The 25,153-nt window shown below is 45.6% G+C and overlaps 1 protein-coding gene and 1 long non-coding RNA gene across 2 annotated transcripts in view, besides 2 other annotated features; one reads left to right on the forward strand and one right to left on the reverse strand.

Moving 5' to 3' along the window:
- The window catches only part of LAMA1 (laminin subunit alpha 1), a 176,056-nt gene continuing 152,812 nt past the window's right edge, over positions 1,910-25,153 (reverse strand). The window contains exons 51-63 of the mRNA NM_005559.4: positions 24,830-24,971; positions 22,113-22,227; positions 21,754-21,927; positions 19,509-19,660; positions 18,645-18,830; positions 16,804-16,933; positions 15,521-15,633; positions 10,950-11,139; positions 9,269-9,427; positions 8,571-8,724; positions 7,331-7,464; positions 3,348-3,570; positions 1,910-2,407 (exon numbers count right to left, since the gene is read on the reverse strand). Coding sequence (NP_005550.2) covers positions 2,247-2,407; positions 3,348-3,570; positions 7,331-7,464; positions 8,571-8,724; positions 9,269-9,427; positions 10,950-11,139; positions 15,521-15,633; positions 16,804-16,933; positions 18,645-18,830; positions 19,509-19,660; positions 21,754-21,927; positions 22,113-22,227; positions 24,830-24,971 — 2,033 coding nt within the window. The 3' untranslated portion in view covers positions 1,910-2,246. The remainder of the gene's footprint in view (positions 2,408-3,347; positions 3,571-7,330; positions 7,465-8,570; positions 8,725-9,268; positions 9,428-10,949; positions 11,140-15,520; positions 15,634-16,803; positions 16,934-18,644; positions 18,831-19,508; positions 19,661-21,753; positions 21,928-22,112; positions 22,228-24,829; positions 24,972-25,153) is intronic.
- Positions 11,492-12,049: an enhancer, noted in NCBI's record as "H3K4me1 hESC enhancer chr18:6951323-6951880 (GRCh37/hg19 assembly coordinates)". NCBI's record gives its function as "activates a minimal SCP1, AML or CMV promoter by ChIP-STARR-seq in naive H9 embryonic stem cells {active_cell/tissue: H9 hESC(naive)}" and the evidence as "EXISTENCE:reporter gene assay evidence [ECO:0000049][PMID:30033119]".
- Positions 14,845-17,587, forward strand: LOC101927188 (uncharacterized). The gene is made up of 2 exons (NR_126040.1): positions 14,845-15,085; positions 15,534-17,587. It is a non-coding gene; the product is annotated as an uncharacterized LOC101927188 (long non-coding RNA).
- Positions 18,815-20,014: an enhancer, noted in NCBI's record as "BRD4-independent group 4 enhancer chr18:6958646-6959845 (GRCh37/hg19 assembly coordinates)". NCBI's record gives its function as "activates an origin of replication core promoter dependent on BRD2, P300/CBP, MED14 and CDK7 cofactors, and independent of BRD4, by STARR-seq in HCT116 cells {active_cell/tissue: HCT116}" and the evidence as "EXISTENCE:reporter gene assay evidence [ECO:0000049][PMID:35650434]".

The following is a 25,153-nucleotide window of genomic DNA, read 5'->3' on the forward strand; positions in this document are numbered from 1 at the left end:
GGGGCCTACTGTTTAATTGGTACAGAGTTTTAGGTTTACAAGATGAAAAGAATTCTGGAGATGAATGGTAGTGGTTGCATACCGTATAAATGTATTGAATTTCATGGAAATGTACGCTTAAAGATGGCTTAAAATGGTAAATTTTATATTTTCTATATTTTGCCAGAATAAAAAAAAGTACTACATTAATTGACAGACTAAACAAGGACTTTTGGCACCAAAATTAGACTTTGGAAAGAAATCAGTCTCTCAGTAAAGTCGTCATGAGAAAAACATGATCGTCAATAGGTTTTGTTGCATGTGCTTTAAGACATAGATTTGCTTTTATTTGGAATCGCTTGGCAGTGAGGGAAAGGGTATCATAATCTTTTTATGCCCTTGGGCTCCAAAGTAGGGTTGCCAGATTCAGCAAATGAAAAACACAGGAGCTGTGCAATATTTAGCATGTGCTTACGCTAAAAACATGTCTGTGGTGTTTATCTGAAATTCAGATTTCCCTGGGTTCTGTGTTTTATCTGGCAACCCTCTCTAAGAACCTGAGTCCAGACTTGGCGAGAGGAATTAAGGAATAAGTGTGAGAACCCGAAGTGAGAACCATAGCTGGTGTCTGACCTGGGAGCACAGGCTCAAGGTCACGGGGACAGATCTACACCCAGGTCACTCTACTCTGTGCTTGTGAAAGGCCAAGGGAGAGCTGGTGGGTTCTCCCCCGAGGGATCCTTCAGAGAGACCTTGTGAACAGCTGTACTGATGAAAAGCCCATGCTCCATTTTAACTCTGTTAAAGAGCGGGTGGAGGCAGGGCTGGAGTGCAAAGCTCAAGGCAACTCCACAGTCTGTGCTCTATGTCCTGGTTTTGGTCACTTCCTCACCCAACACGGTGGGCCAGGATCTAGAATGTCAGAGCCTTCATATCCCACTGTAGCTGGTTTCCGCAGAAACATGAAACCAAAGACCACCCACAGCCCAGCAAAGAGGTTCTCGGTGCACGTGCACTGCCGCTGAGACGGGCAGGTGCCTCTTCTGAGCCCAGCTGCCCAGGAGCTGCCTTTGAAAAGTCTGCATTCCTCCCATGGCTGGTGCTACAGAAACAGCACGTCCACAACTGGCGGCTGCCTTTCTCTAAGAAACATCTTCATGCAGGTATTTAAATGGGAAAGAATTATAAATTTCAAATATACACATCAAGAGGTGTGAATCCCCATAAGGGTTCAAAAACAAGAAGGCAATGAACAGGGACAGGGACCAGAAGCACAGCTGCCTTCCTTGTTTATCCAATCAAAATCTCTCAGAGACACAGACACTAATTCTGGCCTCCTCCATGTTGGAAAAGCAGGTCATGGCTAAGACAGGTGGAGACTGCTCTTCAAGTGAGCCTTTGGAAAATGGGATCATTTTTCTGAAGGATACGGATAGCGGCCACTGTGACCCGAGCTGCAGCCACAGAGCAGAACTAAAATGAATGTGGACTGAATGCGACTTCAGAAATCTGGGTCTACAGCTGCTTGGTCCATTAAAATAATATACTTACATGGTTTTAAAATGTTCTCTCTTTTCAAATTACACATACTATACCAGAAAAGTAGCTGATTAAGGCAAACTGTTTCATTCCAAGTGATGAAAATAAAATTGACAATAAAGGAAGCACTAATTTAAAATGATGCCATCTTTTCTTTTTTTCTGTCCTGCAAAATGCGCTGTTAGGTGAGGTCCTGATAGCACAAGGCCACCTCCAAGGACGGTCCAGCTCCTTCCTTTGCTCCCTTTGCCCCTGTGACTTGCTGGAGCCTCCCTAAAAGGTTATGTGGCAAACAGCTGGTGTGCTCATCTGGAATTAATCAATGAACATTGCTTGTCTGTTGTAGAAATTGGAGCTTAGAGTTTTCTTGAAGAAATAAAAGGCTTCATACTCTGATCTGTTATCATCTGTATTGATACTTTTTTAAAAAGCTCAAAATGAAAAACATAAAATACTATCAAGTAATCAACAGAACATTCAATGTGTATAAAGATTTTTTTAAAAATACGTTTAAAAAGAGAGCCAGGGAATTCAATTTACATTTTAGACCATTTAATGGAGGTATTTGTTGCACATGTGGTTTTAGTGTAACGTAAACACAACATCTCTCCCCAGAAACACTTAACCTGAGTTGGAAATGAAATATGAACTGAAGAGATTCTTAATTCACACATACACTTCTCCTCAAAATATTAGCAATGATTCCAACTGAGGATTCTGCTTGAAGTTCAGGACTCGGTCCCAGGACAGGAATGAAGGAAAACTCCGTGCAGTTCGAACGCTCTGCTGAAGTCAAAGGACTGCACCTGCGGGCTCTTAATCAGAGCTAGCTTCCTCAAACACCCGCGGAACGAGGTCTGGCTGCGCAGGCATTTTTGCTTCACACCAGCTGTTCAGGAAAGAAGAGAAGACAAATCTTGCTTAATTTTGTTGAAATGCGATCCATAGCACAAAAGCAACAGAAATAATCTCAAGCGGGTTTTTTTATTTTTTAAATTTTTCACTATCAAAATTAGGAGAATATCTTCCACATATGTGGTGTCAGTGACTAGCAGAATTCAGAGAAAACTTTTTTTTTTTTGAGATGGAGTCTCGCTCTGCCACCTAGGCTGGAGTGCAGTGGCGCGATCTCGGCTCACTGCAACCTCTGCCTCCCGGGTTCAAGTGATTCTCCTGTCTCAGCCTCCCGAGTAGCTGGGGTTACAGGCACCCGTCACCACGTCCAGCTTATTTTTGTATTTTTAGTAGAGAGAGGGTTTCACCATGTTGGCCAGGCTGGTCTCAAACTCCTGACCTCAAGTGATCCACCCACCTTGGCCTCCCAAAGTGCCGGGATTATAGGTGTAAGCCACCGCACCTGGCCAAAAACTTTTAATATATAAAATTTTAAGGCATAGTTATAACTTAAAAAAAGTCATACAACAGGTGTTTATTATTTGCAACAATTCCTTGGAACATCTAAAATACATAATTCTAATCCAAAATTGACCAGAGAGATGAGTCACAAGTTTGTTTCCTAAAACGATTCCCTAGCCCTAAAATGACTCCCAAGTCTGACAGTCATGAAATTTACTTCGGTAGAGTCATACGGCTGCCTTTATATCAGACCCAATGTTCTCACAGTCTTACCCAATGATTAACTTGTGTATGTAGATTATTTTAAGTTATCCAAGAATTCTTAGATATTTGAAATAGCCTTTCTAAAATGGTAAAGGATTTGTCACCCAAACCATGTACCTTTCTCAATCCCTATTCTACATCCACCTGAACCAAGACTTCCTCCAGGGACAGTGCCCCTTTTGAGTGGAAGAGCAGGTACCCGTACATACCAGGATAGCCACCAACATAAATGGGATTGTTGGTGTCCACTGAGGTAGACTGGGTGTGTGGACTTTCAGCGCCAACTGCGTTCCCGTCAACAATCAGAGTGATACGGTGTTTGCTTTTGTTAGCTTGAAGAGTGTGCCATTTTCCATCACAGAGCACAGTGGCGGTTTTGGGCTCATATGCAGCTGTTATCCTGCCAGCACCATTGTTGACATGGAACAAGACCTAAAAGCAAATATCTTGGTGAGTTTTTGTGTATTTAAGGAACACAGTCCATTTGTATAAGCTCTTGGAGTAGATAAAATTGCAGCATTATGTTTAAAAGGAGAGCTAACTAGGAGAAACAGAAAATAGTTTTGAAAAGTAACCTTTTAAAGGATTCAGATGATGGCTGGGCATGGTGGCTCACACCTGTAATCCTGGCATTTTAGGAGGCCGAGGCAGGCGGATCACCTGAGGTCAGGAATTCGAGACCAGCCTGAGCAACATGGAGAAACCCTGTCTCTACTAAAAACACAAAAAAATTAGCTAGGCGCATGCCTGTAATCCCAGCAACTCAGGAGGCTGAGGCAGGAAAATCGCTTAAACCTAGGAGGCAGAGGTTGCGGTGAGCCAAGATCGTACCATTGCACTCCAGCCTGGGCAACAAGAGCGAAACTCCATCTCAAAAAAAAAAAAAAAAAAAAAAGATTCAGATGTTATACTAGTCCCCAAATTCCAGAAAGCGCAAATGGCCACCTTCATGACCACAAGTCTGAGCACACTGCATCCTTAAATGAGGGCCTCAATTTTAGGACATTTTAGGAGCTAATAGCCTTACTGGAGGTGCTGGTCATACTTTCATTTTTTTTCTTTGAGATGGAGCTTCGCTCCTGTTGTCCAGGCTGGAGTGCAGTGGCGCGGTCTTGGCTTACTGCAAACTCCACCTCCTGGGTTCAAGTGATTCTTTTGCCTCAGCCTCCCGCATAGCTGGGATTACAGGCATCCACCACCATGCCCAGCTAATTTTTGTATTTTTAGTAGAGACAGGGTTTCACCATGTTGGCCAGGCTGGTCTTGAATTCCTGACCTCAGGTGATTTGCCCACCTCGGCCTCCCAAAGTGCCGGGATTACAGGTGTGAGCCACCGCACCTGGCCCGGTCATACCTATTGATAGCACCTATGAGCGAATATTTACTAACTCTCTTCTGATGAACTGTAGATGCTCTCCCACAGCAAGTAAAGAGATCTCAGCTTTGCAAAGGATAGGAGGTGTTATGGGCTGAAGACCGCCCTCCAAAATTCATATGCTGAAGTCCTAACCCCCAGTACCTCAGAATGTGATTGTATTTGAAGATGGAGCTTTTAAAGAGGTAATTAAGTAAAGATGAGTGACTAGGGTGGCCCTCATCCAATCTGACTGTGTCTTTATAAGAAGAGATTAGGACACAGACATGCACAGAGGGAAGACCATGTGAGAACACAGGGAGAACGAGGCATCTGTAAGTCAAAGAGACAGGCCTCAGAATAAAGAACCTTACTAACACATTGATCTCGGACTTCTAGTCTCTAGAGTGGCAAGAAAATAAATTTCCATTGTTTAAGCCACACAGTCTGTGGTACTTTGTTCTGGCACCCCAAGCAGACTAAGACAGGAGGAAAGAATTTCAAATGTACTTTTTGAAGATTCTTATGCTATATATGAAACTGCTCAGTATTATTTCTAGGTGGACTGTGACAATTAAGGATATGTCATAAACCCTTAGGTAACAACTAAAAATGTTAAAAAAGAACTATGCATAATAATCCAATAAGAAGTAAAATGTATAATACAACAGAAAATTACATTGTTTGCAGCAATTACACTTCTGATTGCATTCCTAATTTTTTATTTATCTAAATAAAATATTTTTCAAAAATAGAGATGGGGTGTCGCTATGTTGCCCTGGCTGGTCTCAAACTCCTGGGCTCAAGCAATCCTCCTGCCTCAGCCTCCCAAGGTTTTGGGATTACAGGTGTTAGCCACCATATCTGGCCCTGGTAACATTTTTTAGATGTCACATAAAAACATGCAAATAGATACAAAAGTTTTTAAAGTATAGATGAGGGAAAAAGTTGGCTGTAAGTCAGTGTAGAGAGGCAGCAATATGACATCAAGTTAGTTCTGGTTTGTCATGAATCGGAAAAGAGGTGAAGGGCAAAAGGTCAGACATGACCTTTCAGATCCTCCCCACCCCCACTCTAGGATATCCTAGGGGTCAAAACCCAGCGGGGAGTAAGTAGGGAAATACCAGAAACAACCGGTAAGTCCTGGGGAATCTAGAACATGGAGACTTTTTCCTTGCCTTCCAAGAGGCACTAGTGTTGGAAAATTCAGGCATCTTACTCCCACAACAACAAACATTGACCACAGTGCTGCAGAAATGCTGGTAAAATGTAGTTAGGTAGAGAGAGGACCAGAGAGACACCATCCCTGATTCCCCATGGCCTCTGTGTGGCTTGGCAGAAATCCCCAAGTTTGCACATGACCCCACGGGGAAGCGGGAAGATGAAGAGGTGGCACTACTCATGACAACCAGGATGAGAAGCCTGAGCTGAAATGGACGCTGGCCAAACTCTCCAGGAGCAGCCCCCATGCAGGGGCAACACTGAGACCCCAGACCACTCACTGTAAGAGGCTGCCCTGAAGACCACGATATGGCTATGGCTCAGCTGCTGTCCACTAGAGAGCCCACAGAAAGGAAAAGGGCCATCGAGACTCCCTTCCCCGCATCCTGCCTGCGCCCAGACAGCCCCAAAGGGGAGAGGAAGGGAAGTGAGAACTGGGAGAAACTGTGAAGGAGGCGGTTTTCAAGCAGGAGACTAAAGGACTAGTACTGCAAATTGTGGAGTTCATTTTGTTGCCAGCAGGAGAGGGACATGAGAGGCTGAAAAGCAAGGGCAGAACAGTCACAGAAAAAAATAACATGTTCTACATTAAAAAAAAATTATAGCATGGTACGTCTATCCCACAGAGTAATACGCCACCACAAAAGGGAACGGACTGTTGATATGCACAACCACCCAGATGACCTTCCCAAGATCAGGCTGAGTGTGAAAAGCTGATCTCATAAGGATACCTACTGCGTTATTTCATTTATATAACACTGGCAAAACAGAAATTAGAGGGACAGCAAACAGATTAGTGGTTGCCTAGGATTAGGGGTACAGGAGTTGGGTGTGGCCATGATGGGGTATTAAGGGGGAGCCTTGTAGTATTGATACAATTAAGTATCTTGATTGTGCTAGAAAAATGCATAATGTTTGTAATCCCAGCACTTTGGGAGGCGAGGCGGGCGGATCACGAGGTCAGGAGTTCGAGAACAGCCTGACCAACATGGTGAAACCTGGTCTCTACTAAAAAATACAAAAATTAGCCGGGTGTGGTGGTGCACGCCTGTAATCCCAGCTACTCAGGAGGCTGAGGCAGGAGAATCACTTGGACCTGGGAGGCAGAGGTTGCAGTGAGCTGAGATTGCACCATTGCACTCTAGCTTGGGCAACAAGAGCGAAACTCCGTCTCAAAAAGAAAAAAAATGCATAGTGCTACCACTGGGAAACCTGGGTCTGGGTGAATGGTGCATGGGGCCCTCCCTGTACATTTCATTGCAACTTCCTATGAATCTGTAATAATTTCCAAATAAAAAGTTAAAAAAAATTATTAGAAGGGATAGGGCATCAGGTCAGCAGCTTATTCTCAGATGGTTCAGGAAAAAAAGTTCTTTGTATTATAGTTGTAATTTTGCTGAAAGCTTACTTTCAAACATATAAAAAGTTATTTTTGAAAAGCTTTTAAAAAATAAACCAAAAAGGTTTTCTTGTAGCAATATCTGTTTTTAAAATAGTAATGGGACCATTGTTTGACTCCATGAAAATAGATAGTTGTGAATTTGAATCTGCTGTTTCTCAATTGCTCTGTCTCTGACACTGGGGGGAGGAAGACCCTCATGGAGAGGAAGCACCCACCTTGCCGTCCACAAGCTCTAGTCCAATGGCATCCACTTTGGCAGTGCTGATCCCCAGGAGGACGCCATTCTGCGAGGAGGTTCGAAACTCCAGTGTGATGTTCACATCTGACTGGACTTTGTAGCCCTCTTTGACTGTAACACACAAGGAGGACCCAAGTCAGGGTGAGCGCTGCCAGGCCCAGGTTGAGCATTTGGCCTCCTGGCTAGGGGTTGGGGGACCTGGCTCTAGCTCCTCCTTTGGATCCAGCTGCATCCCCACCAGCAGGTCACTCCTGCCCTCTGAGCCTCGGCTTCCACATCTGGGAGATGACGTGGAGCTTTTAAAGAAGACGCATGCAGTCAGCCAGGTCAGAGCAGAGCCAGGCACCTCCTTCATCTGTGGCCACAGAAGCACGTGGCCCTGCCTCACCCTGTGGACACGTCCTCCCTGCGGCAGTCTTTCCCGTGGGCTGTTGGGATTTGATCCCTGGAATCCCTTTATCATCATCCGAGAATAGTCCACTTTATTTTCCTAGTATCTGTGTACTTGTGGGAATCATCATTTACTGAGTGTATCAGAGTCCATACTAAGTTTGTTAAAGGTGGGGATTGAATGGAATGCTTTTTTAATTCAGGTGATAAAAAAGCCGAGGAGCCACACTGGGTGGGGCTATTGACAACAGCAGGCAGTTGTTACCATGCCCAGGGCTGAAGGGAAAAGGGGAGAAGATGGTATGCCCAGAGCTGGGGGGTGCAAGGGGAGCTGAGGCCATGGAGGGGGCTGCCCAGCAGGGCTGGAGCCTGAGCCCCAGGAACAGGAGAAAGGAAGCACAGAGTGAACGAGAGATGTTCTGCTGGCTTCCCCCTCTTCCCCACCCAAACTTCTGCACAGCCTCCCTGGCGCCAGCTGGTCTAGACATTTTATGCTGCTGATTTTTAATTCAAAGCCCTTTCTTAACTTGGACAGTAAGTGTGCATTACAGAACCTGGGGAAACTATAGATGAAACTAGCACCCCATGTCTGGCCTCTGTCAGGAGTCACACCACTCCTTGGGGGAGACTTTGTCAGGCCATCCAGATAGCACAAGACCTGAGAAGGCTTTTTACGCCAAGAAATTAGGAATCAACTGGAATACTAAACTCAATGTGGTTTTCCTGCAGCCTTGTCCAGTGGGTCCTGTCTTATACTCTTGGATCCACATCGCTTTAGAGTACAGACTCATTCGGGGACTGCCTTCGAGAGTGTTGCTAACACATACCAAGAGCTGCATATCCGCTTCCGTCAAAGTATGTTCCTTCCTGGGCCACTGCGTAGCACCTGTTCACCGTGAAGGCAGACACCGGGCTGTCCTTGTCCAGCTGTTTGCTGTTAACCGTCACATCCCCAATGCAGGCAGGGATGCTGTGGGTGATCTAAGCCAAATGACATGCAAGAGTAGACAGTGGTGATTCTAATGGGAAGGGTTTGGACACATTTTCCTTCCACTTCATCAGACTGGTCTCAGCAAAACACATTAAAATGTAATCTTTTTGTTTTAAAACTTTAATTGCCACAATACTTCACATGAATGTCTAAGTTAGAGCTACCATTTGAGTATCTTTGCTAATAATGCAGTGGAAGTGTTTTCTATTATTTTAGTGAAATATTGTGGAAATCAAAAAATGCTGAGTTTACTAATGTGCGAATATGCATTTGCTGGGCTTCCCTGAATTGTGCTGTGGCCACGTGGCTGCGGAAAGGGAGATGTTCATTAACTAACAGGCTGGAAAGACTGATCGGGTTCTGAGGGGCGGCCCTGGCACACGATCTGTGGACATGCCTGCAAAGTAAACCTCTTCACAAGCCCCAGGTTCAAACAAGGTAATTTAAACATAAAGATGCCGTGAGGTATGCTCTTCTACAAAATAAACACGAACACAACGAAGGTAAAATGTCAGTATGGAAAATGCTGCTTACATTTCCAATTTTCCTGGCCTGGTACTGGGAGGGCAGGCCTCCTAGGTAGAACAAACCCTCCACATCCAGCATGGTTCCATCTCCCACCACAGTCACCATGGGAGACTCTCGGCCGTCGACAGTTATGAAGCCTTTTCTTTTAACATAGTCTGTCTTGACCTACAGCAAAGTGAAAACATGCATAATTTTTGAGGAATCTGAAAAAACTTTTAACAGATGTATAAACTTTAACAGATGCAACATCTGTTTCTGAGAGCTATAACAACCTGAATGCAATGCTAAAGGAAGGTTCAAATTTTTAGACAGTTGGTGACGAAAAGTGGATGAGCCTGGCAGAAGAAAGGAGGCAGGTATGAAACTGCCTTTGCAAAAACTGTAACAGTGAAAGAAATCTGACATAGAAAAATGACAGCAAGAGGAATCTGACATAACTGACTCTATCTTGCTTCTAACCTCATAAGCTGTCTTTGCTAATTCAACCTAGCTATGGGAGGAATTTAGTTGATAGTTTAAAACAAAGATGATAACAGTCCCTTCTGGAAATGGGAGGAATTTAGTGGATAGTTTAACTTTAAATCAAAGATGATAACAGTCCCTTCCCGAAATGGGAGGAATTTAGTTGACAGTTTAAAACAAAGATGGTTAACAGTCCCTCCCCAAAACTAACTCCCTCCTTGCTCAGGGACCAAAATCGCCTTTGTAAAATTAAGGAAATGCCACAAGGTTGGAATTGTGATAGGGGCCTGAATTCTGCTAAGATACAGGCATAAACTCTAACCAGCCATTGTTTCTCCTGCTAAGATGTAGGCATAAACTCTAACCAGTCATTGTTTATACTTTGCCCTTTTAAACTACTTATTGCTTAGGAATCACGTAGCCAATAGTCGTTAAGTGTTATACCTTCTCCAATTGCCCCATATAGATAACATTGCTATTGTAAAACCTAGGACTGGCATTTGAGATATTTTTCAGACTTTGCATTCAGTATGAACCAAATGGCACCACCCAGAGCAGTAACCCCTACCCAGGAACTGGCTCAGCACAAGAAGACAACTTCGACCCCCTGTGATTTCTTCCCCAATCCAATCAATCAGCATTTGCCATTCCTTATCCCCCGGCTGCCAAACTATCCTTGTTTACACGAGGTTTTAACCCTAGTCCTTGAATTCTTGGGGAGGCGGCTTTGAGAATTATCTCCTGGCAAGTTGCCTATGCAATAATTAAACTCTTTCTTTGCTGCAAAACCTGCCACTCTTAGTGCATTTGCTTTTCTGGGCAGTGGACAAGAACAACCCAGCTGGCCGATTACAGGCACAGGTAAAGCGTGCTGCACACCAGAAAGTGCTCCAGAGTTCCGGTTATCAGAAAGCAAATGCCATGAGGGGAGGCTAGGCTTTACATACTCCTTGCCAAGTCAAGAACATGTCTAGTACCTTTTGTTCATCCCGCCAATGTTTGCTGAATGTCTATTTCACGTCAGGTACTAAGCAAGGCCCTGGGGATATTTCGGAAGCAGAAAAGATCCCTGCCTTCAAGACTTGTAGTCTCTGGGGGAGACACCAGACACACACGGCGAGATAGAGATTAATGGGGATAATGTGCCTTTGAGAAATGGAGTGAACCCGAGTGATAGATGGAACAGAACTCAGAAGCAGCCACCACAAGCCTCCTGAGATCGTACCGTGTGCCACTTGCCATCACTGAGCAGTGCAGGGTGAGAGACCTTTGTTCTGCCTTTGCCAAGGTCAAACATGAAGTGGAGGCGGCCCCCGTGCAGCTGGAGCACAGCGTAGTCTGCTTGGTTCTGATGAGCCATGTAGTAAATCAGGCCGCTGGAGGCGAACGTGCGGATGCTTAGCTCAACCGAGAGCCTGGGGAAAACAAGTGCTCAGCGTTGAGAAAGGAAACTTTTACTTTTCATTTTTAAAACCTCAAAAGAGGACCCAACAATTGTTTCAGCGTTTACATTGAACATCTCAGGAGAGAGGGGTATTCATTCCTTCATCCATTTACACATCCATTCATATAATGAGTTATTAGTGCCTACCTCTGTCTGCCGGGAACTGTTTCAGGATGAGGATAAAGCTGTGAACAAAGAGGAAGATCCCTTTGCTCATGAAACTAATACAGAAACACATCAGACAGTAAAGTGGGTCCTGTAGAGGCCAACCAGTGGCTACCTTAAGCATTCAACGCGGGTAACTCTGCAAAGCTGATATCTCAGCTGAGGTCTGAATGACAGAAAGGGGCAAGCCCCTGCAAAGTGAGAGCTTGATGGCAGGGGACATCAGGAAGCCCACCTGAGGCCGTGGGGGAACCAGAGTTACTGCAGGTGTGGAGGAAGGCTGCGCCTGGGTAGGCCCTGTCAGAGGGACCACGGTGTCACTGGACCACCCAGGGACAGCACCAGGGCAGATGTGGCTCCAACATAGGGAGGAGGGGCTTTGAGGGTGTTTGGATTTTCGGCACAGTGGGAAGTCACAGGAGGGCTTTGAAAGGGGGAGTGGCCGAGAATTCCTTTAAGAGATCCTCTGTCTAAACTGAAGAACAGGTCAGGGGGTCAGGGGTGAAGCGGGTCCCATCAGGCAGCTGTTACGACAGCCAACGGGAGGGAGTCGGGTGGCTTAGACCAGGGTGGCGGTGGGGACTCAGAACAGATTCAGGAAACGTTCTGGAGGAAGAAGCAACAGGATTTGCCAATGGACTGGATTTGGAGAGTGAGAAAAAGTGAAATGAAAAATAGCCCCTAGGCTTGGGCCTTGGGCAACCAGGTGAATGGTGATTGTGCCCGCGGCAACGGCAAAGAGCAGGAGAGCAGGACTGAGGGAAGCCTGCGAATTCCATTCGGGGTGATGAGGCCCAGGAGACTGTCCCAGGCCACACAGAGATGTTGAGTGGCTGAGGAACCTGTCCCAGTCCACATGCAGATCTCGAGTGGCTGGTGGGCCCACAAATCCTGAGTTCTAAGTGGAGGCCAGAGCTACACAGGTAGGTTCTGCCATATCTAGGTGGCATTTTAAGGTGATCGGAACATAGAAGGCCATCCTGGGAGAGCGTGTGGAAGGGCCCAGCACTCTCAGCTGGGAGACTGAGGAAGGCGGGCCGAGAGAGAGCAGGGAACTAGGAGAGTGTGCATCTGTGACAGCCAAGGAAGTCCAGGGGCTGCTGAGAGCCCAGTGCAGGGGGCTCCGCACCATGTAGCTGCACAGGGGTCTCGAGTAACTCTCTCAAGAGCAGCTGGGGGTGTGCGGGAGGCTGACCGGATGGTTAAACGAGGAAACAGTCCCTGAGGAAAGGGCAGCTCTTTCAAGAGCCTTGCTGGGAAACAGAGCCAGGTACTGTGCATGTGTGTGCGGGGGAATGTGACGTCTCCTGGGGGGTTCTGCTTTAGAAGTCAAAGTGAGAGAGGGAGTGCAGCACAGAGGTTACAGCAGTCCCTTCTTATTTGCGGTTTTGCCTTCCAAGGTTTCACTTTTTGAGGTTTCAGTTACCTGCAGTCAACTGAGGTCTGAAAATACTAAATGGGAAGTTCTGGAAATAAATAATACATAAGTTTTAAATTGGGCATCACTCTGAGTAGCGTGATGAGATCTCATGCCATCCCACTCGGTCCTGCCCAGAAAGTGAATCCTGTCTGTGTCCAGTGGATTCACGCCATGGGAGCCATGTCTGCCTATGTCCAGTGGATCCACACCATGGGAGCCATGTCTGCCCGTGTCCAGTGGATCCACGCCATAGGAGCCATGTCTGCCTGTGTCCAGCGGATCCACGCCATGGGAGCCATGTCTGCCTGTGTCCAGCAGATCCACGCCATGGGAGCCATGTCTGCCTGTGTCCAGTGGATCCACACCATGGGAGCCATGTCTGCCTGTGTCCGGCGGATCCACGCCATAGGAGCCATGTCTGCCTGTGTCCAGTGGATCCACGCCATGGGAGCCATGTCTGCCTGTGTCCGGCGGATCCACGCCATGGGAGCCATGTCTGCCTGTGTCCAGTGGATCCACACCATAGGAGCCATGTCTGCCTGTGTCCAGCGGATCCACGCCATGGGAGCCATGTCTGCCTGTGTCCAGCGGATCCACGCCATGGGAGCCATGTCTGCCCGTGTCCAGCGGATCCACACCATAGGAGCCATGGGCCCATTGGTCACTTTATAGCTGTCTAGGTTCGCAGATCGACTGTGGCAGTACAGCGGGGCTTGTGTTCAGGTCACCCTGATTTTACTCAATAATGCCCTCGAGGCACAAGAGGAGTGATGCTGGCATATTGTTATAATTCTTCTATTTTATTATTATTGTTAATCTCTTCCTGTGCCTAATTTATAAATTCAACTTTATCATAGATATGCATGCATAGGAAAACACAGTGTATATGACGTTTAGGTACTAGCCGAGGTTTCAGGCAACCACTGGGGGTCCTGAACGTATCCCCCGAGGAGAAGGGGAAACTACTCTACAGGCACAGACTCTGGAGCCAGAAGGCCTGGGTTCGAATCCCGGCTCTACCATTTACCAGCTGTGTGACTTTGAGCAGATGCCTCAGGCTCCCTATACCTCAATCTCCTTATCTGTTAAATGGAGATAATAACAATTCCTTCCTCATAGGAGAATTATGAGGAGTAAATTAGGGCATCTGTGTAAAAATCTTTGTGTCAACCTCCAGCACAATAGTTTGCTGCTCTTGCTGTCACTGCTGACGATGGGGTGACAGCGGCATCTGTGTGCTGGTCTGTGAGGAGTGGCTGCTGTGCATGTCCTAGGAGGAGAGGGCGGATGGGATCCAGAGGACAAGCTGGGGCTGGCTGGGTGGGCTTTGCTAGGAACAAGTACCCTTCATCTGTGGTAGCAGAAGAGATAGAGGGTCAGGAACAAAAGCAGGGGCTGGTCTTTTTGGTGGTGGACGGATGAAGGAGCTCTTTCTTCTCAACGAGGCAAGTCATCAGCTGGGGTGGGAAGAGGGACTGCGGTGCACAGGGCTCTGAGCTAAGAGCAGCTATGAGGAAGTAGTCATGGAGAATAAAAACCATGAACATATTAGAGCAATGCACTGGCTCCCCATGTCGTTTGGAGGCTCCATCTGAGATTGACGGCTATGATATCCAGCTCAAACCAGCTAGGAAGGAGACATCCATCTCCTTGGCCTTGGTCTCCCGTGTGGGTTCTGGCACAGAGAAGGCGGAATGTTGGCTTTTACCTGGGCTCGCAGGAGTGGGAGAGAGAAAGGGTTAGGGGATTTTGCAGAGGACACCTGTAACACTGGCCTGGAACCTATCTGGGGGATGAATTGTGATTTGGGGCTAGAGAAGAGGGGAGATAGTGGTGGGAGGGCATTAGGGCTAGCGGCTTAGAGGTCTCCATGCAGCTGAGAAACTGCAGGAGTGGGGAGGCACAGAGTGGAGACAAGAAGAAAGGGGTGTGCTAATAGGAGGCTTTTAAAGTCGAGACTGTGAGAGGGATGGATACCTGTGAAGAAGTCAAGGGTATGGCCACGGAAGAGGCTGGCTGAGGAGGGAGCAGGGAAAGACCTTCCACAGATCACAGTTTGAGCACAGAAAGGTCAGGTGTTAGGCAGCTGTTGAATTCACAGAGAGTGATGGCAGGAGCTGCAGAAGACAGACAGGAGCCCAGGTCTAAGGGGGTATGACAGGGTGGCACAGCCAATGACAACAAGACGGGCAGGGCATGGCAGAGACTGCAGGCAAGCCTGGCAGGTGAGCTGGAGGACCTCAGGAGGAGAGAGGAGCAACATGGAGTCCGGGAGCCCCAAGCTCCAGGCCTTGAGATCTTCCCTTGGCAGAAGGGTCCCAGGGACAGGCAGGTATGAGGGCCAGAAGGTGCAGAGAGGGGTGGGTGTGGCACTCGGGATTTTGGCCACCACAGTGTAAGAGTTTGGGTAGACAAAGACATCAGACTAGGGAATGCTTAAAGTGGAATGGGGTTGAAAGTCCAGACAATAATAGATCCAGGAGACTTAATTTAGATGCCCACACGCTTCCTTACATGCACACAGAAAGGGGAAGCCAGCCACTCTCCAGAAGGGAAAAGGCAGAAACCACAGACTCCCCAGTGAACCACCATGAAAGCGTTGTGATTTGCACCAACACTGAATTCCTTCTCTTTGCCATTTGGTTGCAAATCAAGCACTTCATCATAAAATAAAAGCAGGTTCTTTTGGAAAAGACTCTGTGGCTGCAGAACACCCCCATACATCTAGCAATGAGACGCCGCATAAGGATGTTAGAATGATACCTACTTCTTTCTGACAGCCGACTGATTAAAAGGCAAGATGAAATGGCTGTTTTGTGTGAGACCAAACTGGTGAGCGCCGGGAACGTACTCCAGAGCTGCATCCACCACACACTGTTCCTGTAAGAGACACACAGGGACACTCAGCCGCCACCCGCAGCCCGAACCCCACTGACACACGCGTGTTCCGCCATGAAGGGCCATCTACGAAGCAATCCCATTAGAACAGCAACAACCACCAGTGCCTGTTGGCGCTCACTCCATCTTCGGTTTAAATGATGCACTCGCCAGCGCTTTATCTCCCTGAAGAAAGCACTTAGAGCTTCTGTCTGTCACCTTAATCCCACTCGGCTTCACTGAAATTCATAAGGACACTGAAGTCTCTCCTACAAATTTTCATCAGGCTTAAGGGGCAAAGGCCTTGCTGTCCCCCTAGGCCCCCGCCGTGACCCGAGGTTTTGGGAATGGCCCTAAGGATGCAGCTGCCGAGACGAGCTGCGGACCAGGCACTGGAAAACTGGAGGTGCCCACAGGTGACATGTTTTGCAGGGCCTCAGAGTGTGAACCTAGGTCCACACTGACAGGGCAGGATGCAGACAAGAGGAGCCAGGCGGGAAGGGCCCCTGAACCCCACGCAACCATCTGCGGGCTGTCCTAAGAGTGCCCAAGTCATGGGGGTCCCAGATGCTGTTTTCTGCTTCAGCACAGGCAGATGCTACCATGAAAACTGCCCCGAACTCAAAGCCTCGCCCTGCTCAGAAGGTCCTGCTCTTGAATGCTTCTGCCATCTTCTAAATTATTAGAGTGCACACTTTAAACCAGGGAAACAGAGAAAGCAAAAGGGGAGAACATGAAAAATAGCAATGGCTGCCATTCAAAATATTTGGCCAGAACTGGCTTTTCCTAATGAATTGAATCTTTTTTTTTTTTTAAAGCAACAAATATGTGCACAATGGCTTTACATGAAGTACTTATTTTCATGCTTTCCTGGCTAAATGTAAATTGATAATGAGTCCTTATAGAAGCTCTGCCAAAAGCATATTATACATCAGCCCAATGCGCGGCCTGGGTGTTGGGGCCTACAATCTATGGATTGGGCCGTGTCATCTGAGTTGCTTGAGGCACCCTTTCCCTCCCTGTCCCCGCTCTGATTTTTAGCACAGCTCCAGCTCCAGCTCCAGCTCCAGCTTTCGCAGGCACCTTTACAGCAAGGCCCCATTTTAACTCCCTCTGTCCTAGGCCCTCCTTTGCTGACTGGACCTGACTGATAGTAAAGGAAGCCGCTCCTACTGGAAAAGCCCGGGGCTCTGGCAAGAGCTTGCTGTCCTCTGCATCGGGAGCCAGCTTAGGCCTTTCTGACAGCCAGCAGGTGTCCAGGTCGACTTGCTCATGGCCAACTGCACTGTTGAAATCCAAAAGTCTAGGTAGAAACAAGAGAGTGTTTTCAAAATTAGGATATCACAAACCAGTCCATGAACCCAAGTCATCTGATAACTGTACAATGAAAATCAATTAAAAACCATGTATATATTTCTCTTAGAGTAACCAAAGTGCCAATCCTTCACTGTGACTCAGAGTCCAAACATGCTATCTTAATATTTCTTGTCTGAAGCTTCTGCTTGCAATGGCACCCAGCCTAGCATATCCCCATGTCAGACCCTGGCCATTCCTGAGCACCCCCCAGGTCAGCTCCGATGCCATCGCCTCCTCCTGCAGCCTTGACTGGGCTGCCTCAGGGACACGTTTTTGTCTCTAGTTCCCAAGCGCTGCACAGTGACCTCCACGAAACACTGATTTCTTGTTTACGTGCTTCCCCTTGCCAGGAGGTTGTGGGCTACGCTTGTCACATGCACTTTCACTCTGCAGCTCCTGTGCTGTGTCCTGTGCCTGCGCACGTCCCCCTGGCACTTTCCCGGGCACAGCTGGGAACTCCACAGAAACGTTTCTGCTCTACCGAGTCCACAAACCCATGACTTTCAGGAGCATGAGGATGCCTCATGAATGAATGAATGAATGAATGAATGAATGAACAGACAACTGGGGGAATAAACATAAACCTGTGCAAAAATCTAAACCAGAGCTCTGACATTATGATTGTATTCAAACCCAACGCTATGTTTTATTCTTGCAAATTTCAGGGACTCCTAAGAGGTAATTTCACAGATAAGGACACTGTGACCATGAAAGATCCAAGTCTTTGTCCAAGGTCACTAGACAAGTCAGTGACCCAGCCAGGAGGGAGCTTCAATTTCCTGATGCCCAGGGCACTTCCAGGTGTTCCTGGGCAGATGCTGGTCCCACAGAGCAGAGCACAGCTTGTGTCCCATCAGCACCCTGTCCAGAGGCAGAGGGTGAGCAAGGAGGAATGAACTGCTCATGGGCACATGTCAGTTCTTTTCCTCATCATGAGCTCCACACAGGGAATGGAGGCTTCCAGTTCTTTTTTTTTCTGAGACAGAGTCTCACTCTGTCGCCCAGGCTGGAGTGCAGCAATGGTGCAATCTCAGCTCACTGCACCTCCGCCTCCCGGGTTCAAGTGATTCTCCTGCCTCAGCCTCCGGAGTAGCTGGGATTACAGGTGCCTGCCACCACACCCGGCTAATTTTTTGTATTTTTAGTAGAGACGGGGTTTCACTATGTTGGCCAGGCTGGTCTCAAACTCCTGACCTCATGATCTGCCTGCCTTGGACCCCCAAAGGCTTCTGGTTCTTAATTATACAGTAATTGTTTTTGGGGAAGCCATTGATAACCTGAAGCTGCTAGTAGCCCCATAGTAAACAGCTCCTTCAAAGCAATGCTCTCAGGACAGCAAGAGACTTACATCACAAAATCCCTATGTTCCTTCAAATGCATGTCAAAAATATATTAAAATCCCGGCTCTTTATGGACAGCCACAGAGAGCTAATGTTCAGCGATGGTTTTTAAAGTATGATGACCAGATCTGTCTAACATTCTAATCCAATAAAATCCATCTGGGGAGACTTACATGATAGAACAATGGGGTTCACTCATTATTTGGGAATTTGCAAAGTTTTCAATCTCAAACAGTACAATGAGATTTCAGATTAGTGTTAGCACTCACCATGAAAGGTCAGAAAGTGCAAGAACATGCAGAGAGCAGGTACACTTACTCCAAATTGAAGATCAGGTTTTTGATACAGCCATGGAACGATCTTCTCATTGTGAGCAGTGACGTCCCCTCTCCCTCTGGAATTCCCCCGACGTACAGATTGGACACATTTATCGTCCTGCTTTCTACTAATGTGCCCAACTTCATTTCCACAGGATTGTTCTCATCCAATTGGACAGTGATAATTCTAAAAGACCAATGGAGAAAATAAATGAAAAGCTTTAAACATAATGAAATAATAATTCCATTTTAGTCCATAATTCCCACAAGTTCTCACTGAATAATAAAAGTTCCCTAAAGGTTCATTTTAACAAGACACTGTCTGTGACCAAAAAGGTGAATCTTGAAAATTAAAACTCACAACTGAAGATTTTTCAGAAACGAATGGAATGTTATTAAATATCCATTGAATGAGATTGCTTTTTGGAGAGATTTTCTTTTTCTTTTTTTTTTAACCTCTTTACCTATGATGAAAATGCCCAGTGTGCTTTTAAAGCATTCAGTCTATATTTTGGAGGGAAATATACAGGAATGTTGATATAATGCTATTTACTATTGATATAATACTATTTACTAATAGTGTACTACTATTTGCCACAGAATCAATCCAATGTAAAGACAATTTATGCTGGGCCCCAGTAAAGGGCAGAGCTAAAGTTGTTTAATTATAAAAATTCTACAAGTATCTTATTACAAAGCAGATGAAACTGGTTCCCAGGAAAGAATCCTAGCAAGGTTCTAGAATCGTCTGGATGCCGATGACCCCAGTCATCTAGCCGCCCAGGGCACCACCGCAAGGTTCCTCCCACATTCCCTCTGAGCTCACCACACCTTCATTACACACTGCCTGGCCGCGTGCAAGTACCTCCGATTCCTGACCAAGGAGATGGAATGCGCTTGTCCATCACTGCAGGTACCCGTGGGAGCGTGCAGGAGAGCTTTTCTCAGGCCTGTCCCATCCCCAGGATTGACATGTACCTCAATGTTGCCTCCGATCAGCATGACGGAAAAGAAGGGCTGGGGAGGTTGCATAGAGAATTTCCCAGACAAAACACATTACTATATGATTTAGAAAACTTTCATCTTATGAAGATAACGTGAGAAGATTAACATCAAGTGAGTAGAGCAATTCCTTAAGAATCTCTTCAGCTGTCACAATGTTACATTTTGTATGTTACTTTCTAATCTCTGTTCATATAATTTATATTCTGCATTATGCTATTATTGCTGAAGATTTCAAACATTTCCATTCTGCATTGCCTCATATTTATGGTTTATTGCTACATTAGATACCAATAAGTAGATATATTGTAATTTGTCTTTTTATCAATGAAATTTAAAGTATTTTCCAACTTTTTATTACCATACATGTGAATGTTTAATTGTTTTGCCTGTGATGTTGTTTCCAACATTATGAAAAGTAGAATTAAACATTTGAAGGATGTGAAAATGTTTAAAGCTTTTAATTTTTTTTCGACACATTGAAAAGAGGTAGTTTATACACTAGAAGAATTGGAACGTGAGTATCTCACAATACCCTTGCTAGCAATGGCTAATATCATTCCTTTTTGCTGACTTAGTAAGCACACTTTGATTTGAAGGTAACCTTACTAAGACTAATGGAGAAGAAGTTTGGCAGTTCCTCAAAAAGTTAAACATAGAATTATCATATAACCAGTGATTCCACTCCTAAGTATACACCCAGAAGAACTGAAGACAGGGACTCAAACAAATACTTATCCACATATGTTCATAGCAGCATTTATTCATAATAGCTAAAAGGCAGAAATGCCCCAAAGTTCATCCATGAAGTAACTGATGAACACACTGTGGTATGTATATACAGTGGAATATTACTCAGCCATAAAAAGGAATGAAGTACTGATCCATGCTCCAATGGGGATGAACTTCAAAGACATGCTAAGTGAAAGATGCAAGACATCATCATATGATTCCATTTGTACAAAATATCCAGAATAGTAAATCCATCTATACAGCCGGAAAGCAAATTGGTGGTTGCCAGGAGTGGGGAGAGAGGAGAATGGGGAGTGACTAATTAATGGCATAGGCTTTTGAGTGATGAAAATGTTTGCAACTAGATAGGAAAGGTGGCCTCGTAACATTGTGAATGCACTAAACGCTGCTGAATTGTTCACTATGAAATGGTCGATTTTAGGTTATATGAATTTCAGCTCAACTACAAAAAAAAAAAAAAAGATCAGTGGAACTCATTAACCAGTCGTAGTCACTGTCAGCCCTTCCCCAAGTATGTCGTGACATGTTTGGGTTCTGCAAACTTGTGTTCCAGTCCTGACTGTGACTCATACCAGTGGTGTGACCTTGGTCAGGTTTACTAGGCTCTCTCAGCACATTTCTTCCTCAGCAAAATGTAGGAAGCAGCATTCCCCTTGCAGCATGGTTGTGATTAATTACACAGCAATGTCTGTAAAGTACCCTGCAGAGTACAAGGTGGCATTCTATAGATTTTAGCTGCATGGACTCAACTTGATTAAGACAGTGTGCTAACATTCTGTAAAGTCTCTTCAAATTATGTGATAGACACAAATTTGAGCAGAGGATGGGGAAATATCACCTATGCTCTTGAAAAGGAACATAAATAAGGAAAATGGTCATCATTTCTCTCCTTTCCCCCTGTTAGTTTACTGTGCTTATCACAGCCCACATTTCCCTTGCTGCTCCTTTCAATCCTATAATAGATAAAGAAAGTCTTGCTTCATCCAGCAGTAGACTGAAGACCTCGACAGGATTTAAGGACTGCTGTTGGCCTTGGAATGAAGAAAAATGACCACAACATGGGGAAGAAAACTCCGTATATGCTATCTGAATGAGTTTTTAAAAAATTAGAGGTAGACAGCAAATAACTTTTTCCTCAGTCACCAGACAATGAAGATGGATTATGCAATATGAGAAATCATTGATTCATAATGGGATGACATTCAGCAACAATAACTTTTACTTATTGAAAATGCACATCCATAAACAACCAGGAACACGGTGACAATAAATGTTTATGAGTCAGTCATTTTCCACTCATTGTTTCCCGAAGTAATTTCCTGAGCTTGGGGCTCAGGAGCACTGGCCCTACTCACCACGTGTGCTTCCTCACGATCACCCCGCTTCTCCACATCCCCGCCGAGGGCAGCCAGGATGATGCCACTGCTGTTCGTGGTGGCAAATGTTACCAGCCATTCTGATTCTGGTGACAAAGATTTGGGTGGCAATTCAATGTAGCCGCCTTTCAGGAAGCTAACACTCCGGATGGGCTGGACACAGAGGAGATGGAACAGCATGGTGAGTTCCTAGCTGCGGCCAAACCTTCCGTGGGGAGGACACTGCTGATTTCCCCATCATCTCTTTTCTATCCCCACTGGTTTGTTGTGTTATGATGTTGATAAATCAATGGACACTTATGGAAACTCATTTGAACATTAATAACAATGTTTCCTACCTCCAGTAAACAGCCTTTTCTCACTCCATAGGAATTTCTGAGTAAGTCAAAGGTTGATCTGGATATTTCCAGGTTCTTGATGCAGCCCACAAAGCTTTTGGTGGTGACACCTCTCCTGTAGGGAAGGGCATGAGAACAATCACAAAATTTGGGTTTTTAAATTCCATTTTTGAAAGAAGGAATACAAAGCCACTGGGCAAGGCACAGTGGCTTATGCCTGTAATCCCAGCACTTTGGAAGGCTGAGGTAGAAGGATTACCTAAGCCCACGAGTTTGAGACAAGCCAGGGCAACATAGTGAGACCCTGTCTCTACAAAAAATAAAAAATTAGCCAGGCATGGTAGCATGCACTTGTAGTCCCAGAGACTGAGGCAGGAGGATTGCTTGAGCCCAGGAGTTTGAGGCTGCATTGAGCCATGATTGTTCCACTGCACTCCAGCCTGGGTGACAGAGCAAGATCCTGCCCCCCAAAACAAGAAAGGGCGGGGGGTGGGGGGAACCCTATACTTCTGGAATACCTGTTTCCATGTGTTACTCTGCAGAAATGTCTTGGCCTCCCTCTAAGAGCAATATTGATAGTGAGAACTTCAGGTCAAACAAATACTCTCTTACTCTCCTTAGGACTAGAGAAAGGGATCAAACTTAGTGAGTTTGGCTACTTGGATGGCTACCTACAGAAAACACAGGCCAATTATAAGAAAGACAGTGCACAGTGCATTGCAGCACATAGATTATAATCCAGTCTCCATGTAGAGTAGAATGTTTGCTTCCCATGGGGACAAGTGCAGGTAATGCTATTTGCCAGGATCTGACTGCTAACAAAGGAAGTCATTGGCTGTTGTTTACGTTGCATATCCATGAACTTTGTCCTAAAGGAAGTAACTGTATTTGGTGAAGTCTGGGATTATCCGAAACTCTACTTCTCAATGTTCAAGTCAATATCATATTTTTCTTACCAGAAGTCTCCACACTCCTGGCTGAGGTCAGGCTATAATGTAGTCCAGCTCTAATTTCCAAAATATGGAGACCACTGAACATCTCCCAGCTGCACTCTTCTGTACCAGCTCTTCACAGGAGAGCTTTGCAATAACATGGTTTCCTGTTACAGCCACACCTCATTTTTTTTTTTTCTCATGTTGAACAATGAGCTATGGACCATTAAGCAACTATATGATTTTGGACAAATTTCAGCCTTTCTAGATCTCAATTTCTTTCCATGTAAACGAGGAGGCTGGCTTTGATGACACCTAAGTCCCTTCTACTGAGAACATCTGTGATATGGGCTTCTGTCCTTTCCTGCGTTGTCTACACTGGGCCGTCTGGGCAAAGTCCAGATGTACTAGGACATAGCCGAGGCTACAGGAACACCCCAGTCCTGGTCCCAGCATGACAGGGCATGAATCTGGGATGGGATCTGGAGACAGCTTCCAGTCCTGGCTCCGTCTTGGCAGGAAGGTAAGACTTCGCAAGTGACCAACTCCGCTGAGGTTTAAATGGATTCAATTCTAAGATCAGGAGGCGGCTGTGGTTGCAAACTGTGTTCCCTGGGACTTTCTAAGATACCTGGCAAAGAGAAGGGGCACAGTGGAGAAGTGGCTCTCTCTACAAAAGGCTGCTCATCATAGCAACTGAATGGCTGCAGCTCTGTGCCACATAAGAGGAGTCTATGAAAGAACTTGACCTAAAGATAGAGCACTGCTACAAATGGACATTTGCTAACCACTACGCTGAATGGCCCAGTTTGGACATCTAATGACCCCACTCCCTGCAAGCTGTCTTACCTTGACTATTGGACTTTCACAAATGTCTTTTTTGAATGGTGTGAAAGAACCTTAGAGTTTAATTACAACCAAAATTACAAAACTGAGGACAATGAACCAGCCACACAAAGTTTCTGTAAATCATTAAAATCACAAAGCTCAACATGAATCAGTCTTACACAAGGATTCCATTGTGTGTCCTGTGCCATTTCATTCCACTTCTTGATGCTGGTCTTTCAACTTGCACATACATTATTCAGTCTAACCACACAAAGGAGAATCCAGAAAAGTCTGCAGAAAGCATGATTTCTTTTTTTTTTTTTCCTTTTGCCTTAAAAGAGATCTACTTCTCTAAAATGTCTAGAGAGAGGGAGATGAAGTATGACAGCAAGTAGGGTCTCCAAATATTGCACGGTAACAGGATTTAGACGTTCTAAAGGCAATACATATAAAATCACTAATTTTTCTGCAGAAGGCCTGCTTTACTTCTCAAATCACATGGCATAGAGTACTCTGAATAAATAGAAGCAGATGTTACAGGTTGAACCGTGTCCTCCCAAAAGATGTGGTAGTCTTGATCCTCCTTATGTGTGAATGTGGCCTTCATTTGGAAAAGGTCTTTGCAGAGGTAATCAAGTTAGGATGAGGTCATTAGGGGAAGTCCTTATGCAACATGACAGTTGTCCTTATAAAAAGGGGAAATGTGGACACAGGACCCAGGCCAAGGAATCCCTGAGGCGACCAGAAGCTAGGAGCATGGAACAGATTCTCTCTCACAGCCCTCAAAAGGAAGCAAGCCCTGCCAACACCTTGCTTTTGGACTTGCAGCCTCTAGAACTGGGAAAGAATAAATTAGTGTTGTTTAAGCCACCTGGTTTGTGATACAGTCCATTCTCAGCCCTAGCAAGCTAATAAAGTTGGAAATCAGCGACATGAAAATTCTGCAGTTTAATATACCTTACAACTCTTGACCTTGGTAATCCACCCACATAAATCGGGTCCTTGTCTAGGCGGTTGAGGTCAGAAGATGCTCCCGGAGTCTCGCCCTGCTTGGTTTCTTTATTACTGGTGTTATAGGCATCGATAACTGCTAGCACTCCTAAAAGGAGAGCACAGGCAAGAGATAAGAAAAGGAAAATCCCTTTCCATGTTAAGGTAAAATGCAAACTTCTGGCAACAAAGCTCATTTACAAATGCATATTCTTTTAGATTCTGCGAATTTGATCAGCTAATGTTCTTGGCTATTGAAGGACAAGTGAAAATCCTCTCTATCAAAGTCAA

The sequence above is a fragment of the Homo sapiens genome, chromosome 18 (assembly GCF_000001405.40).
Source record: "Homo sapiens chromosome 18, GRCh38.p14 Primary Assembly".
Lineage (NCBI taxonomy): Eukaryota > Metazoa > Chordata > Mammalia > Primates > Hominidae > Homo > Homo sapiens.